At 45.0% G+C, this 15,686-nt stretch overlaps 1 long non-coding RNA gene, 2 other non-coding genes and 1 pseudogene across 6 annotated transcripts, besides 3 other annotated features; 3 read left to right on the top strand and 1 right to left on the bottom strand.

The window, feature by feature from the left end:
- The first annotated feature begins 1,685 nt into the window (after positions 1–1,685).
- On the top strand, positions 1,686–3,964 carry LOC107985101 (uncharacterized; annotated as a pseudogene).
- Positions 2,889–4,017, bottom strand: LOC105376805 (uncharacterized). 4 transcript variants are annotated; one of them, NR_135059.1, is made up of 2 exons: positions 3,899–4,017; positions 2,889–3,133 (listed from the first exon to the last, which is right to left on the bottom strand). It is a non-coding gene; the product is annotated as an uncharacterized LOC105376805 (long non-coding RNA). The 4 variants fall into 4 exon arrangements; NR_135058.1 differs by having other exon boundaries at positions 2,889–3,136; NR_135057.1 differs by lacking the exon at positions 3,899–4,017 and adding an exon at positions 3,567–3,829.
- A 10-nt stretch (positions 4,018–4,027) lies between these two features.
- Positions 4,028–4,101, top strand: TRN-GTT4-1 (tRNA-Asn (anticodon GTT) 4-1). The gene has a single exon. It is a non-coding gene; the product is annotated as a tRNA-Asn (tRNA).
- Positions 9,693–10,626: an enhancer, noted in NCBI's record as "OCT4-NANOG-H3K27ac-H3K4me1 hESC enhancer chr1:17221837-17222770 (GRCh37/hg19 assembly coordinates)". NCBI's record gives its function as "activates a minimal SCP1, AML or CMV promoter by ChIP-STARR-seq in naive and primed H9 embryonic stem cells {active_cell/tissue: H9 hESC(naive and primed)}" and the evidence as "EXISTENCE:reporter gene assay evidence [ECO:0000049][PMID:30033119]".
- RNU1-2 (RNA, U1 small nuclear 2) lies at positions 10,331–10,494 on the top strand. Its single transcript, NR_004427.1, has one exon. It is a non-coding gene; the product is annotated as an RNA, U1 small nuclear 2 (small nuclear RNA).
- Positions 10,369–10,448: a silencer, noted in NCBI's record as "silent region_336". NCBI's record gives its function as "represses an Ori minimal core promoter by ATAC-STARR-seq in GM12878 lymphoblastoid cells {active_cell/tissue: GM12878}" and the evidence as "EXISTENCE:reporter gene assay evidence [ECO:0000049][PMID:35858748]".
- Positions 10,627–11,559: an enhancer, noted in NCBI's record as "OCT4-NANOG-H3K27ac-H3K4me1 hESC enhancer chr1:17222771-17223703 (GRCh37/hg19 assembly coordinates)". NCBI's record gives its function as "activates a minimal SCP1, AML or CMV promoter by ChIP-STARR-seq in naive and primed H9 embryonic stem cells {active_cell/tissue: H9 hESC(naive and primed)}" and the evidence as "EXISTENCE:reporter gene assay evidence [ECO:0000049][PMID:30033119]".

Genomic DNA, 15,686 nt, shown 5'->3' on the forward strand with positions numbered 1-15,686 from the left:
ACAAAGGAACAGACAATTTCTGGGAACAAAGGGATTAAACAATAGGAATTGGTACCACAAAGTACCAAAAAGCACACCAGAGTCACTACACCCAAGACTAGTCACACAAATCCTTTTCTCCAATTAATCAAGATTTTGGAGAGGGAAAAGAAAGAAACAGTGATTTTTACTGTCCACTTGATGAGATTCCACACAGAGAAGGAGGCCAGGAGCCTGGCTGGTAAAAAAATTCTTACCCTTATGACAGCTGATCAGATCCTGGGTTCTTCACTGCAGCTTCCAGAAGAGCAGAGCTTTCCTATCCTGCTTACAGCTCCAAAACTGTAGGGGCCAATGGAAACCCTCCCTCTTAACCCTCTGAAGTTTCACTCAAAAATCAAGTCGCAAAAGGCAGATTAATTGGAAAAAAGGCATAAAATGTACTAACATGTGCATGGGGAGAGTCACAGAGTGATTACCCTCCCCTACCCACAATGGGATGCAGAAGCTTATATACCATCTTGAGGTAACAGAATGAATGAGGGCTCAAAGCATGGCCAAAACCAGGTGCAATCAGAGTCAGAGGTATATCCAATTATTGTGGACAAGATAAGTGATGGTAGGGAGAGAAGAGGAGGCTTGGCTAGCAAAGGTGGTCTTAATATGTAAATGAAACCCTACAGTTAGCAGCTCTCAGAGAGAATAAACCCTAAAAATTTCTTTCAGACCTTTACATGTGTCAGACTCTCAGTTAATCTTTCCTAGATCTGGGCAAGGAAAGACTTGGCTGTATCAATGCAGATTCCCTACAGATGCAAATCTCCCCAACAAAAGACAACTTTGCAGGGCTACTTCTGCAGCTGGCTTTCTGAACAGACATCTCAAAATATGTCAAAGAAATGTAGTTTGGGGTCAAATATTTTTAATTCCTTCACATCTACAGCCTGATGCATCGGCCGTTTCAATGCAACATTGTTGGTGGCAACTCCATTCTTCCCTATACTCAAGCCAAAAAACCAGGTTCTCCTTGAGGCTAGTCTTTTTCTCACAGCACACATCCAATTTGTCAGAAAACTTATGTTTCCTGTTTGGTTAATTACAGATTTTGATCTGCCCAATCTTTCTCTTTCTTGGTCTCTGAATTTTGGCAAAGGAGTCTCCTGATACAGGCAGGATAGATTCTACTGACGATTCTCAAAACCGTCAGACACTTAAGAGCCTTAATCTCGGGGTAGGGGTTTGGGCCGCCCTCGAACCTTTTCTTTGGGCCTCCCCATCAAAATCAGTCTGGCCAGGCCTGTCTTCAAGGCCCAGGGGCAGGGCCAGGTCCTCCCGATGCTTCTTGAAGCTTCTCCTGCCGGGTCAGCAGCCACCCTCCCCTTCCCTCTGACCTGCAGAGAAGCTTCAGGGGGCATTTATTCAATTTGCTAGGAGCTCACGGATGCAGGTGCGCGGTGACTCTGTGGTTCCCACCGCACCCACCGCCCTCCTTGGTCCTCTCACTGTCTGAAGCGGGCAGTAATGTTCAGGGTGAGCTTGGGCTCCGAAGACACCCAGTCAAGGAGGGACCAGTAGGGAAGGGCACTGGCCCCTTAGGTCCTTCCCAGCTAGGGATCCGAAAAAGTTCTTGAAGAAATAGAAAGGGAGAGTTGGAAGTAGATCAAAGGGAAAGAAAGAAAATCCTAGATTTCCTATCTGAAGGCACCATGAAGAGAAAGTCCGCCTCCTCTGGGCCGCGTCCTCACGTCGCTGGTGAACCAAGTTCTGTTCTCCATTGGAGACCAAATCAGTTGACTTTGGCTTGACTCCTAGTGAAGGAGCCCCGCTTTGTCCTCCCCTGTTTAGCTCTTGATCCTGAAGCACTTGATTGTCTCTCCCGGGCTTTTGATGGATTTCAGGGATGCAACTGAGAAATTTGTTTTTAATGCACTTAATTGAAGTAAGAATATTTTAAAGTATTTTGGCAAAGAAAAACGTTTCCTTTTGCAATGAAGACATTCAGATGTAAGGAAAATCACTAGGCTCTCACAAACACAAATTCCATGTCAGCAAGTAGATTTGACCCTCAGGTTGGGCACACTTTAAGTGTACTGTTGGAACTTAAGATGAATCTAGGACATTCATGATTAATATTTTTAGTTTTTTAGTACAATTTAATATTTTAAATTTAAATACACATTCTGAAAATTGTATAACCAGCACAAGAAACCGGCTTTACGCCATATTTACAAACATAGGAAAGAAAGATGATATTTTAAATGACAATGCTTCATAAATGGCAACATTTTTAAAGTACCTAGAGAAAAAAAGTTAATCTAGAATTCTATGCAAAAATAAAATTTCATAACTGTGAGTGAAATAAGGACATTGAAAAAATACAAAAGCTAAAAGAATTCACCAACCCATGCTGCAAGAAATCTTAAGAGTCCTCCAGGCAGAAGCAAAAGGATACCAGATAAAAATGCGGGCCTACACAAAGAAACGAATATTGGAAATGGCATTTAGAAAACATGTACTACACGTTTTCTTATAATTTAAATCTTTCAAAAAATATTTGACGTAATAAATAAAAGTAATAATGAATCACAAAGCTTATAGTGCATAAAGTAAAACTACATAACACTAGGATAAAGGCCAGAAAGGGAGGCATAATGACACTAGAAAGCAGACTATGATAAATTAAAGATGTATCCCGGAAACCCTAAAGCAGCCTCTTAAATAAGAAAAGGGTTATAGCTAATAAAGCAACAAAGGAAAGAAAACGGAATGAAATAAAAGCTATGTAAACACTATGCTGGAACAACTACTCTCCAGGCCTCCACCCTATAGAAATACACCAGTGGCCAATGAGAGTGTACAAGAATGATGACTGCAGCATTACTTGTAATCATAAAATGATAAAACCAACGTAAGTTTAAAGATATATGAAAAGGGTTTTATTTATTTAACAGACAGACAATGGAACAAGCAAACAATGGGAGCAAGTCCTTTGCCAAAAGGAACACAGAGGGTCATGATGATGCTACTCCTCCAAGGATTTCAGAGTTCCCAGACGCCTAGTTTTCTGTCTAGTTCTTCTGGAAGATGTTATTCTTGGGGAGCAATAGGTCCTCGAGTTTGGGGCTCTTTCAGGTTCTCTCTCCATTTCCCCATTCTGCTACAATAAACAAACAAAAACAATTCTCACTTCCAGAAGATCCCGCCTGTGCCTCTGCATGCGCCTTTCAGGAGGTCTGGATGTCTGGTCCACCGCTCCCGGGCTTCTTTCCCAGCTTTTGCTTTTCCCTTTACCTGCTCTCGCCCTACGGCCCCAGGGCCGGACCACGGCCCAGCTGAGCCCCGCGGCTCCACCGCGCAGAAGGTGCGCCGGAGGCCCTGCCAGTTTCCCGCCCTGCAGGGTACTGAGAAATCAACGATTTGTAAAAAGAACTTCCCCATGGAAAAAAATCTGTTGATTTCCGCTCTCAGGGCTCTTCAAAGGACTAAAAGCTAAAGGCGACAATGAATTCATTCGACAAGTCCTAGTCGTGAGCCCTGGTGAGTGCCAGACCCTGCTCCCCCCGAGGGGACCCACGAGCGACCCTCACCACCATCCCTGCCCTGGTGGAGCCCCCGTGCGGAACACAGGATCCGAAGATGGCAGCGGAAGCTCCTCCGCGGCCCCGAGAGCGACTGGGCAGGGTGGGCACAGGCTCTTCAATGGGTGAAGGCGGCGCAAAGAACGGGAAGAACCATCCCAGGAGCCCACAGGGCGTTCAGCTTCCCTTGGGGCCCCAGGCGGCTCGGGCTGGGTCGCCGACCCGGGAGTTCCTGGAAGCTTCTGAAGCAGGCGAGGGGCAGGGCGGGCGAAGGCAATTCCGCTGTTCTGGCTCCAGAATCTCCTAACGCGCAGGCGTCCAACGTGACCGGCGCGACTCACCGCTCTAATCTCTCTGGTTTTCCAAGGCCTTGCTCGGTGGTCCTGCCGGGCGGGCTCTGGGAGTAGAGGGAAGGGAGTTAGTTCAGTGAGTGGGCCCTTCCCATATCACCAGTAGAAGCGGAAGCGCTTGTCTCTGTGGCGCAATCGGTTAGCGCGTTCGGCTGTTAACCGAAAGATTGGTGGTTCGAGCCCACCCAGGGACGCTTATTGGAACTTTTGAAGCATTCATGCATTGTCAATCACTAGGTAAATGGGGAAGATTTTATCTTCCCGAAGTCCCAAGCCACTCATTTATGACTGATCCATGTCAAGGGCCGCCCACCTCCCCGACCAGATTCTTAACCGGCTATCTCCTGAAATGCCGGGTTTACACCTGTGTAACTTAGGAATCCTGAAACAGAGACCTAGGAACCCACTTCTGGTGTGATAAAATTCTAATTCAGTCCCTTATACGCTTAAACAAGTAATTCACGTGCCTCCATTTTTTCATATTTTAGTAATAGGAGTCCAGTATTACCTCCAGGATGTGCCTGGGTTTCCTGATTGCTCTATCAATAATGTGACCAGTGGAATCTTTCATCATGATAGTGATCCTCTCCATCATTTTTGAAAACAGTATTTTTCCTCAGTCTGTGCATGATTTATTTAACCCTTTTCAAAATGTTTTTGTTAGCCAGGCATGGTGGCACACACCTGTAATCCCAGCTACTCAGGAGGCTGAGGCAGGAGAATCGTTTGAACTTGGGAGGTGGAGGCTGCAGTGAGCTGAGATTGCACCACTACACTCCAGCCTGGGTATCAGAGTGAGACTCCCATCTCAAAAAAAAAAAAATGTTTTTGAGATGATGTTGGTTTCATGGTTTTAGGATTACAAAGAATGCTGCAGTCACCATTCTTGTACAGATATCTTTGGTCATTGTGGAAATGTCTACACTGCAGACATTTCTATAGTGTAGAGAGCTGGATGCGCCATTGCTACATTATAGTGCTTATATAATGCTTCTAATTTGAGTCCATTCTGCAAATGTGTCTTTCACGGGAGCAGTACCAAATAATATTCCAATATGAATATTTATAAAATGAAAATGTGCAGATGTGCAGTTGAGCTGCATGCCTCTCCATGGGGCCCATGTTCATAAAATGGTGGCGTTAGCAATCATCTGAGAGTGGAGTTTGTGGCCCTCTGACGTCAAAATCTGAGGCAATGGACATGAAAACCCTCACTGTACATCCTCCGTAGTCTGGCCAGAATCATTCCTGGGTCGGTGGTCTCTTATCAGGAGGGAATGCTGCTTGCTTTTTTTGTCAAAACCACAAAAGGGAGGGAAAGCATCAGGCTGTTGGTTGATAACAGTAGTGAAGCAAGTCTCTCCAAAGGCTTGGTTTGTTAACCCTTAGGAAAAAAATCCTAATTCTTGCCAGATGGTGCCATGCATTTCCAGGCTCTTGGTGTCCCAAACAAAGAACTGTACATGACACACACAAAGCAGCAAAGCAAAGCAAAAGTTTATTAAGCATAGTAACACTCTCAGAGTGGGGAGAGTGGACTGACCTCTGGGATGTAAGATAAGTATTAGTTTGGTGTACTTTGGGTCGTTTTATGTGTGTTTTTTTTTCTTCTCTTCACAAGGATGCCTAATCGTTAGCCAGTGTTTGCCTTTTGATTGATAGGTGGGTTGCTTAGTTACTTTGGCCCTTGTGTGCTTGCACATTGGCTCCATCCCATAATTTTAAGTACATGCATGATGTGCAGTCCATATGCATGAGTTTTAATGAGCTGATTATCATACGGAGTCATGTTAAGGATACTTTTTTTCTCTCATGCACATGCCTATCTCTGAGGAGCTGCCCCTTTACTGGTTTGGATCTCGCTGGCCATGGGGTCCTTGCTTGCTTTTCTTTTTTTTTTTTTTTTTTTTTTTTGAGACAGAGTCTCGCTCTGTTGCACAGTCTGGAGTGCAGTGATGCAATCTCGGCTCACTGCAACCTCCGCCTCCCGGGTTCAAGCGATGCACCTGTCTCAGCCTCCCAAGTAGCTGGGAGTACAGGAGTGCACCACCACGCCCAGCTAATTTTTTGTATTTTTAGTAGAGATGGGGTTTCACCATGTTGGCCAGGCTGGTCTGAAACTCCTGACCTCAGGTGATCTGCCTGCCTTGGCCTCCCAAAGTGCTGGGATTACAGGCATGAGCCACCGTGCCCGGCCTTGCTTGCTTTTTTAAATCTTACTTTTTGTTTTGGCTGCTCAACTTCTGCCTTTTATCTTGCTTCTTGCTCTCCCACCCCATCACCTTGCTTCTGTTTCTGCTTTTACTCGTTCTGCCTTTTATCCAACTTCCAATTCCCTCTGCTGTTCTCCTGCCTCATAATGGCAGTTAGTGAGCGGGGGTTTTGAGGTGGCATGTCCAACCTCCTAGCCTGCCACATCCAGAAACTGCTTTCAAGGTTTCTCTGTGGTCCTGTCAGCCAAGAGGGAGTCCGCAGTTGACTGTAGGGACTAGGGCTTATTTTCATTTCTCAATCCTGACAAGGTAAGGCTGGATTAACGCAGATTCTCTGCAGGTGTAAATTTCCCCTACAGAAGACAGTTTTGCAGAGTTCCTTCTGTTTGCTGGTTCTCTGACAGCCATCTTAAAATATGCCAAAGAAATACATTCTGGGGTAAAATATTTTGATTCTCTTCATCTATCTACAGCTTCACCATGCTGGCAGCCTCCAATCCAAGCATACCTGAAACCTTCTTTTTTTTTTTTTTTTTTTTTTGGTTTGAGACAGAGTCTCGCTCTGTCACCCAGGCTGGAGTGCAGTGGCATTATCTCGGCTCACTGCAAGCTTCGCCTCCCAGGTTCACGCCATTCTCCTGCCTCAGCCTCTGGAGTAGCTGGTACTACAGGTGCCTGCCACCGCACCAGACTAATTGTTTGTATATTTTTTAGTAGAGATGGGGTTTCACCATGTTAGTTAGGGTGGTCTTGATCTCCTGACCTCGTGACCACCCACCTGGGCCTCCCAAAGTGAGCCACCACGCCCGGCCCCTGAAACCTTTCTTTTTAAAAAGCTTTCCCACCTTTATGACTGCCTTCAAGTCTCTGCCAAAACACAAGTAACAGTGACTGACTCCCTGCTATACCAAGCTCACAGTAAATAGCCTTTGCTGTTTTTCATTTGGTTGGTCTTTGTTTATTTGCAGAAGCTTCAATGTAGAGTTGACAAGGACTCCAATCTTTGACCAAACCTTAGTAGTTTCCTCTGAGCCCTTTTCTCTGTTACTTCTTGGCCTGCCAAGTCCAGCTTTAGGAAAGAATCCTGTTGAGTCTAGTTTAGCAAGAGTCCTCGCAACCACCTTTGATAGCTAATCAAGTTCCTCTTAGTAATTTTCCATCCACTGACTTTCTTATCTTGCCAATTGGCTATAATCCTCAACTCCTCCTGCTGTATTTGAGGTTGAGCCCAGTTCTCTGGGCTCAACCTCAAATACACGTGTCCAGTGCAGCCCCTCAGAAACTACCTTTGCAAAATTATGACAATCAGAGAAAGCTGACATGGCTGACTCCATCTTGGTTCTAGCCTCACAGGCTTGCTGTCTTTGCTCATTCCTGTGCAATTTCTCCCAAGCTATCTTTGGGAAAAATTGAGTTTATAGTTTAAATCAGGGCTCCCCAATCCCCAGGGCCATAAGACAGGTACTGGTCCATGGCCTGTTAGGAACCCAGCTGAACAGCAGGAGGTGAGCTGCAGGCTTTCGAGCATTACCGCCTGAGCTCTGCCTCTTGTCAGATCAGCATGAGCATTAGCTGCTCATCGGAGCTCGGACCCTATTGGGAACTGCTCATGTGAGTGATCCAGATTGCGCACTCCTTATGAGACTGTAACTGATGCCACTGATGCCTGATGACCTGAGGTGGAACAGTTTCATCTGGAAACCATCCACCACCCCCTTCCATGGAAAAATTGTCTTCCATGAAACCAGTCCCTGGTGACAAAAAGGTTGGGGACAGCCAAAAATCTGGTTTAAATGATAACCTTCCCCAAAACTAAATTACCCCTGTAAAATGAATGAAAGGCCACCAAGTTAGAAGGATGAAAGCGGCCTGATTTCTAGTAAGATGTATGCCTCCTTAAATAATTACCAGCCATTATTCCAGAAGTCACAAGATTGGCAGCTTCCCCAGTTACTGCTGTGAAGAACATCACTATTGTAGAACCTAAGATTGGCCTCTTGAGATGTCTTTTCAGGCTTTGGCATTTCTGACTGCTGGATGGCACCATTTGGCCCGAAAATCAACCAGTCCCTTAGCCCCCACCCAGAAGCTGACTCCATGCAGGAGGGCCATTTTCCATGCCCCTGTGATTTCATCCCCAACGATCAGCACCACGCAAGCCCTAGCCCCCTCCCCACCAAACTATCTTTGAAAAACCCCTTACCTCCAAGCCTTCAGTGAGATTGCTTTGAGTAATAACTCTTGTCTCCCACATGTCGTGGCTGGCCTGTGTCAGTGAAACTCTTTCCTGCAGTGCCATGGTCTCCATGAATTGATTTTGTGTGTACATTGGGCAGGAAGAACCCATCAGGTAGTTACATCTGCAGGATGGTGCCAGTTCTTTCCACAAAGGCTGGTCAGATACCCAGAAAACATTTCTCCACTACTACCTGGACAATGTGTCTCCCTGTCAATCTCCAGGGAATGGGGCCTGGATCAAGTATTTAGTATTCAGCAGTTACTACACTGTCACCTAATCCCTCATTTTCAATATCTTGCCATGCCTTCCAGTGGCCTAACTGGCCACCATGCCACAGAATCTTTATGGTCTCCAAGGAGAACTCTCTACTTGATGTTTTGTGATTTGAGCAATGGAATAGAATCTGATACTGGTGGGCTGGGGGAGGTACCCGGACACTGGTGGGATCTCGACCCCAGCCGTGGTGTCCAGGCTCTTGACACCATCGCGAGAACAAAGTCAAAGATGAGTCAGCAGATAGTGAAAGAAGAGATTTATTGCAAAGCAAAAAGTACACACTCAAGAAAGGGGAGTTCAGGCATACCCAAGAGAGAACAATGGATTCTGGGGTTTCATCTTGATGGGTTTCTTTAACCAAGGAGTGGAATGTTCATGAAAATTCCTGGGTAAAGGTGGAGATTTCTCGGAACTGTGGTGCCATCCATTTTTACATCAAATATTGGTCTCAGAACTGTCATGGCACTGGCGGGTGTGTGATTTAGTATGTTAATGAGCATATAATGAGGGCCTAGGTAAAACCTCCGTCAAATCCAGCACCACATTGGGTCCACTCAGCCTTAGCCAGCTTGGTCCACACCCTGGTTTTTCAGCGTCTTAACAGCCCACAGCCTCAAGTCATGTAAATCTGCTGCCTAGAATTTGTTATCCTGTGACCACCCTGTAGTATTCCTGTCTGAAATCTACTTGTAAATATTCAAATGGTCTTTCACTTGGGCATTCCAACTTTGCTTACTTCACAGTGTTTCCTGCGTAATATATAAGAAAAGATGATCCAGACATTGTTAAACATCTCAAATAAGATGTAGCCCAGGTATTTGTGTCAAATTTGGATTATTTTGATTTCGTCTTTGCAGAATATAAAAAACTAACATGAGGTAAGCACTAAGGTGTGGAGATGGCTGTGCAAGAGATGACAAAGTCCAGCACCACGCTTGAGAGTGTCCAATCATCTCTTCTGGGGCAGCATAGTTTTCTACAATACTGATTTTGGAAAAAAAATCAAAAAAAAAAAACCTACAAGATTCATGAAACTGGACAACTGTCTTTATAACATTACCAGTGATAAAACCAGTAAGGAAGGCTGGTTTGCAGTCATCTGAGCAGCCTCTTTACTTTCATAAACATGGTTTCTCTCGGCTTCCAATTGCAAGTGGAATGCTGCATCACAGGGATAAAGATGTGAAGAGAACCGGTTTCTTCTGTAATCCGAAACATTCTAGTCTGCGAATTAAAAGCCATTATTTGAAGAAGGATGCCCCGGCTCCATCTGGCCACCGAAAGGTTGCTCCTTAACACAGGCTAAGGACCAGCTTTTTTGGGAGAGAACAGACGCAGGGGCGGGAGGGAAAAAGGGAGAGGCAGACGTCACTTCCTCTTGGCGGCTCTGGCAGCAGATTGGTCAGTTGAGTGGCAGAAAAGCAGACGGGGACTGGGCAAGGCACTGTCGGTGACATCACGGACAGGGCGACTTCTATGTAGATGAGGCAGCGCAGAGGCTGCTGCTTCGCCACTTGCTGCTTCGCCACGAAGGAGTTCCCCTGCCCTGGGAGCGGGTTCAGGACCGCGGATCGGAAGAGAGAATCCCAGCTGTGTGTCAGGGCTGGAAAGGGCTCGGGAGTGCGCGGGGCAAGTGACCGTGTGTGTAAAGAGTGAGGCGTATGAGGCTGTGTCGGGGCAGAGCCCGAAGATCTCATACTTACCTGGCAGGGGAGATACCATGATCACGAAGGTGGTTTTCCCAGGGCGAGGCTTATCCATTGCACTCCGGATGTGCTGACCCCTGCGATTTCCCCAAATGTGGGAAACTCGACTGCATAATTTGTGGTAGTGGGGGACTGCGTTCGCGCTTTCCCCTGACTTTCTGGAGTTTCTAAAAGTAGACTGTACGCTAAGGGTCATATCTTTTTTTGTTTTGGTTTGTGTCTTGGTTGGCGTCTTAAATGTTAATCCTACAGTGGAGGGCTGGCGAATAGGAAGTAACATGTCGCCTGCACGCCATAGGAGAAAAAGCGAGCATCAGCCGTATCGGCTTTGTAACACAAATTAGCTATCGTGAAGTCCGCTCAGCTCTTCCCTTTCTACCCTGGCTGCTTTTTGCAGGGATTGGTCCGTGGTCTCCAGTCTCTTGGGTTCTCACCCTGTGTGAAAATCTTCCTGTTTTTCCCTACCCCCCAAGTCACCTCTTACACAGCCTCTGCTTCCAAGCGCAGCCCCCACAGGAGTTTGTAGGATTTCTGTGCTAGCGGGGAGTGTGTTCTCACCTCATAGAGCCAGGTAGAAACTACGCAGATGGGTGCTGTTCTCCAGGAAGAAAGCAGGGCCTTTGGGGCTCTCAGTGTCCCCGTTGGGTTGTAGACATAACACGCTTACTTTGCGTAGGGGAACGGCTCTGCCGGCCCCCAGGTGCCCTCGCGCATATTCATGGAGGCCCGTAGGTCAGAACCGCAGTCTCACCTGTCTTGGCGGAAATGCCCTGCGATCCTCCCGGAGATAGAAGGCGGGAAGTTTTATGAGGAGCCAGGTACAGTTTCCCTACTATCTCCGGCAGTTCATATATCTAGTGTTTCTTCAGACTTTATTTAAGCGACAGCTTCTTGTTTGATGTCTCGCTCCCACATCCTACATCCATTGCCAGGCAACTTTCTAGATAGCACCCAGACCCATCCTTCCCACCCCCAAGCAGCCGTTTCCTATTTCTGGTGCCAGTGTCCTCCCCAGTCCCTCTTTCTTCAGGCCCTCGCTTATCACCTTCATGGACAGAAAATACTTAGCTCTCTCTCAACCTGCGGTTTATACCTGACACGCGTCAGTACCCTGACAAATTCCTTAATACCCTTTCTCAAATGGCACTGAAAATGCATTTCTTTTTAACTCCCAGAAGTATCTAATTGGTTTTGTCCCTGAACTACATGAATACTAGTATTCCACTACAGAGGAAAACCCCAGGCCTAGCGATGGCGGTTCTGGGCATTGTGCCAGCCTCTCCCAGGGTATGTTTTCTGACATCACCTACTTTTGATCAACTGAGGTCAGGAGTTCGAGACCACCCTGACCAACATGGCGAAACTCCGTCTCTACTAAAAATAAAAATAAAAATAAATTGCCGGGCATGGTGGTGTGGGTCTGTAATCCCAACTACTCGGGAGGCTGAGGCAGGAGAATCGCTTGAACCCGGCAGGCGGAGGTTACAGTGAGCCGAGATCGTGCCATTGCACCCCAGCCTGGGCAATAGAGTGAGACTCTGTCTCAAAAAAAAAAAAAAAAAAATTAGTCCATCTGAGACATTGTTGTTGGAGACAGTAGAATCCTGCATCCAACAGGCACTTGGTGCAGATCTGAACCCATTGAGCTATTGGCTCATGTTCCCTATGTTCTATTAAGTATCATGAGCAGAAATTGAGCTCTTTGGCTTTTACCCACTGAGTATGGCTATAGGACAGGTCTCTCTCTCTCTCTCTCTCTCTCTCTCTCTCTCTTTCTCATTATTTGCATCATTATTTTTTGCCATCAGTGTGGGTTTTTGGTTTTGAGGCTATGAAGTGAATTTCTGGGGACAATCTCTGTTGGGTCGTGTTGACAAGGATCCAGTCCCTGTTTGGTGATACATGACAGCTAATCTGGTCTGTGAGTCTTCTTTATTGTCTATTTATTGTCCTGAGAATAATGGTATTTCCTGAAATTTGAGACTGCAGCAATGATAAGTTGTTCAGATCTTGTCTTTCCAATGTTTGGTAAAAATTTTATAGGCCCAATTGTTGTCAATATCTGCAAGAGTGGCATCTCTATTACAAGAGTGATCTTACTACTCAATGTCCCCCCTCCCACCCAACTTCATTTCCTAGGGGCTCTTGGCTTTAACGAATTTACTGTATCTAAAAGACATCTTAGTACAGGAAGAAAACTAAATCTGTAGCATGTAAGGAGCAGTTTTCTTTGATTGGTATATTCAGGTTTCTAACCAGCTGAAAAATTCAAATACATGTCCTTTAAGGATTAAGTTTAAACTACACTACAGAAAGAAGAGAAAAGATTTATATGATCACATATAAGCAATGGAATCAGCAATATGAGCACTTTTCACAACTATATAAATCAAATTTAGTAATCTCCAGAACATTAAGGAAGTTCAGCCCTTAATGAAAATGAATGAAAAGAAATTATTCACCCACTGTTACATGCCCTGGAAAGAGAATGCCCTGCAGGACTCAAAAGGGTACCACAATATTACTCAGATTTTCAGCAATGAAGGCCCTCCAAGGATCTAATGATACTCATATTTTCAGTTTATTTCCTTCACTGATAAACATTGTTAATAGATACCATTGCCTCTGTTTTCACTTTAAGTGATGTTACTTAGCACAATTCATTTCTTTAGAATGCCCCCTAGTTTAGTGAAAGGAATTTTCCTGCTTTATAAATATAGGATATTTTCTCATGAAACAAGTTGGCGTACTCTTTCAGTGAAGGGACTAGACCGATTAGGTCTCTAAAATGTTAAAGGAGTCACTGCCTCCATTATCTTAGGAACAATAATAATCACTTATATAAAATTAAAATAAGAAAATTAAGCCAGGAATGGTGGCTCATATCTACAATCCCAGCACTTAAAGAGTTGGAGACCAGCCTGGGCAACATAGTGAAACTCCTGTCTCTACAAATTTTTAAGTATTAGCTAATTTTTTAAAGTTGGCAGGGCATGATAATGCATGACTGTAATCTCAGCTACTAGGGAGACTGAGGCAGGCTCCAGTGAACTATGATTGTGCCACTGCCCTCCAGCCTGGGTGACAGAGTGAGACTCCCAACTCAAAAAAAAAAAAAGAAAAGAAAATATAGAATTTGTTGAAAATTGTTTTACTACAATGCTAGGCTGCATGTCTTGCACCTGTACTCCCAGCAACTCAACAGGCTGAGGCGGAAGGATTGCTTTAGGCCAGCGGTTGGAGACCAGCCTGGGGAACAGGGCAAGACCTCATCTCTAAAAAAACACAAGGCAAGCTGAGCCAGGAGGATTGCCTGAGCCCAGAAGTTCCAAGTTGGTCAGCTATGATTGCCCTGCTGCACTCTAGCCTGGATAACACAGCAAGACCCTGTGTCTTATTTTTTATTTTATTTTTACTACTTATGCTTATTTATTTATTTATTTTTGAGACAGAGTCTTGCTCTGTAGCCCAGGCTAGAGTGCAGTGGTGCCATCTCAGCTCACTGCAAGCTCTGCCTTCCAGGTTGAAGCTATTTCCCTGCCTCAGCCTCCAGAGTAGCTGGGATTACAGGCACACGCCACCACATCCAGCTAATTTTTATGTTTTTAGTAGAGACAGGGTTTCATCATGTTTCCCAGGCTAGTCTCAAACTCCTGACCTCAAGTGATGCACCTGTCTCGGACTCCGAAAGTGCTGGGATTACAGGTGTGAGCCACCTCGCCCAGGCTCCTTATGCTTGAAATGTGAGGTTTCATTAGGGAAAAATTTTCTTGTTGAATTTCTAACATGAAAAAATAATAGATTTAGCTGTAGATTAAATTAATGGTCTTGATAGTTTGGTACAATAAAATAAATGAAATGAAGTTGATAGCAGAGAGGAATTTTTGATGCTTTTGGACAATTTAAATAATGTAATATTTAATATATAAAGACATGAAAAAGTTCATTACATTATTATATTTATTTATTTATTTATTTATTTATTTATTTTGAGACATAGTCTCACTCTGTTGCCTAAGCTAGAGTGCAGTGGTACAATCTCGGCTCACTGCAACCTCTGCCTCCCGGGTTCAAGCAATTCTCCTGCCTCAGCCTCGTGAGTAGCTGGAATTACAGACGTGCGCCACCCCACCCAGCTAATTTTTGTATTTTTAGTAGACACAGGGTTTCACCATGTTGGTCAGGCTGGTCTCGAACTCCTGACCTCATGATTCACCTGCTACGGCTTCCCAAAGTGCTGGGGTTACAGGCGTGAGCCGCTGCATCTGGTCTATTATGTTATTTTTTAAAAGTCAGTGTGACTCTTTTGACAAATTAGAATGGTTTAATAATCTTGGTTAGGCTGGGCATGGTGGCTCACACCTGTAATCCCAGCACTTTGGGAGCCTGAGGTCAGGAGTTCGAGACCAGCCTGGCAAACAAGGTGAAACCCTGTCTCTACTAAAAATACAAAAATTAGCCGGGTATGGTGGGGGGCTCCTGTAATCCCAGCTACTCAGAAGGCTGAGTCAGGAGAATTGCTTGAACCCGGGAGGCAGAGGTTTCACTGAGCCAAGATCGCGACATTGCACTCCAGCCTGGGGGGGCAACAAAGTGAGATTCGGTCTCAAAAAATAAATAAATAAATAAAAATAAAGTATAAAAAATTAAAATTATGTGTTCAAGTAAATTAAATATATGGCAATGAAAAGGAGGCCCAGCATGACTGACTGCATTTTGCTCCTAACCCTTCCTACCCTGTGGTGATGTCTTTCAGGCTAACTGCTTTTTCTTCTTTCTGCACATAGGCCAAGCTATCTATGGGAGGGATTTAGCTTACAGTTTAACTTTAAAGCACAGATGATAATAATCCTTTCCCCAAACTAACTCCTGAGAAGATAGGCAGGTTGTTGAAGATTTATAAGAGCAGTGTGACCTGACAAAGGACAAAGAATTTTCACCATCCCCTTGGGCTCTCACTGCAGCCCATATGTCTGTCATTGTCAGACCTCTTCACCTCAACCGCCTCCTTCTTCCTCCCTTCCCTAACGTACAAGGAACCTGAAAATCATATTAATTTAAGATGGTTCTTTAGGATGTTAGTTCACCATCTGTTCAGTTTGGTGGCTCTCTGGAATAAAGTCACCTTCCCTGCCCCTACACCTTATCCCTGGACTTATTGGCCGTCATGCAGCAAGCGGTGAGTGCAGTAAGCCGAGATCACACCACTGCACTCCAGTCTGGGTGACATAGTGAGACCTTGTCTCAAAAAAATAAAAATAAAAACAGAGAAATTTGGTTTTAGAACCAGACAAATTAAATGGGAGATTACTTCCAGTGAGACCTAGAAATTTCTAAATTTCTAA

The sequence above is a fragment of the Homo sapiens genome, chromosome 1 (genome assembly GCF_000001405.40).
Source record: "Homo sapiens chromosome 1, GRCh38.p14 Primary Assembly".
Lineage (NCBI taxonomy): Eukaryota > Metazoa > Chordata > Mammalia > Primates > Hominidae > Homo > Homo sapiens.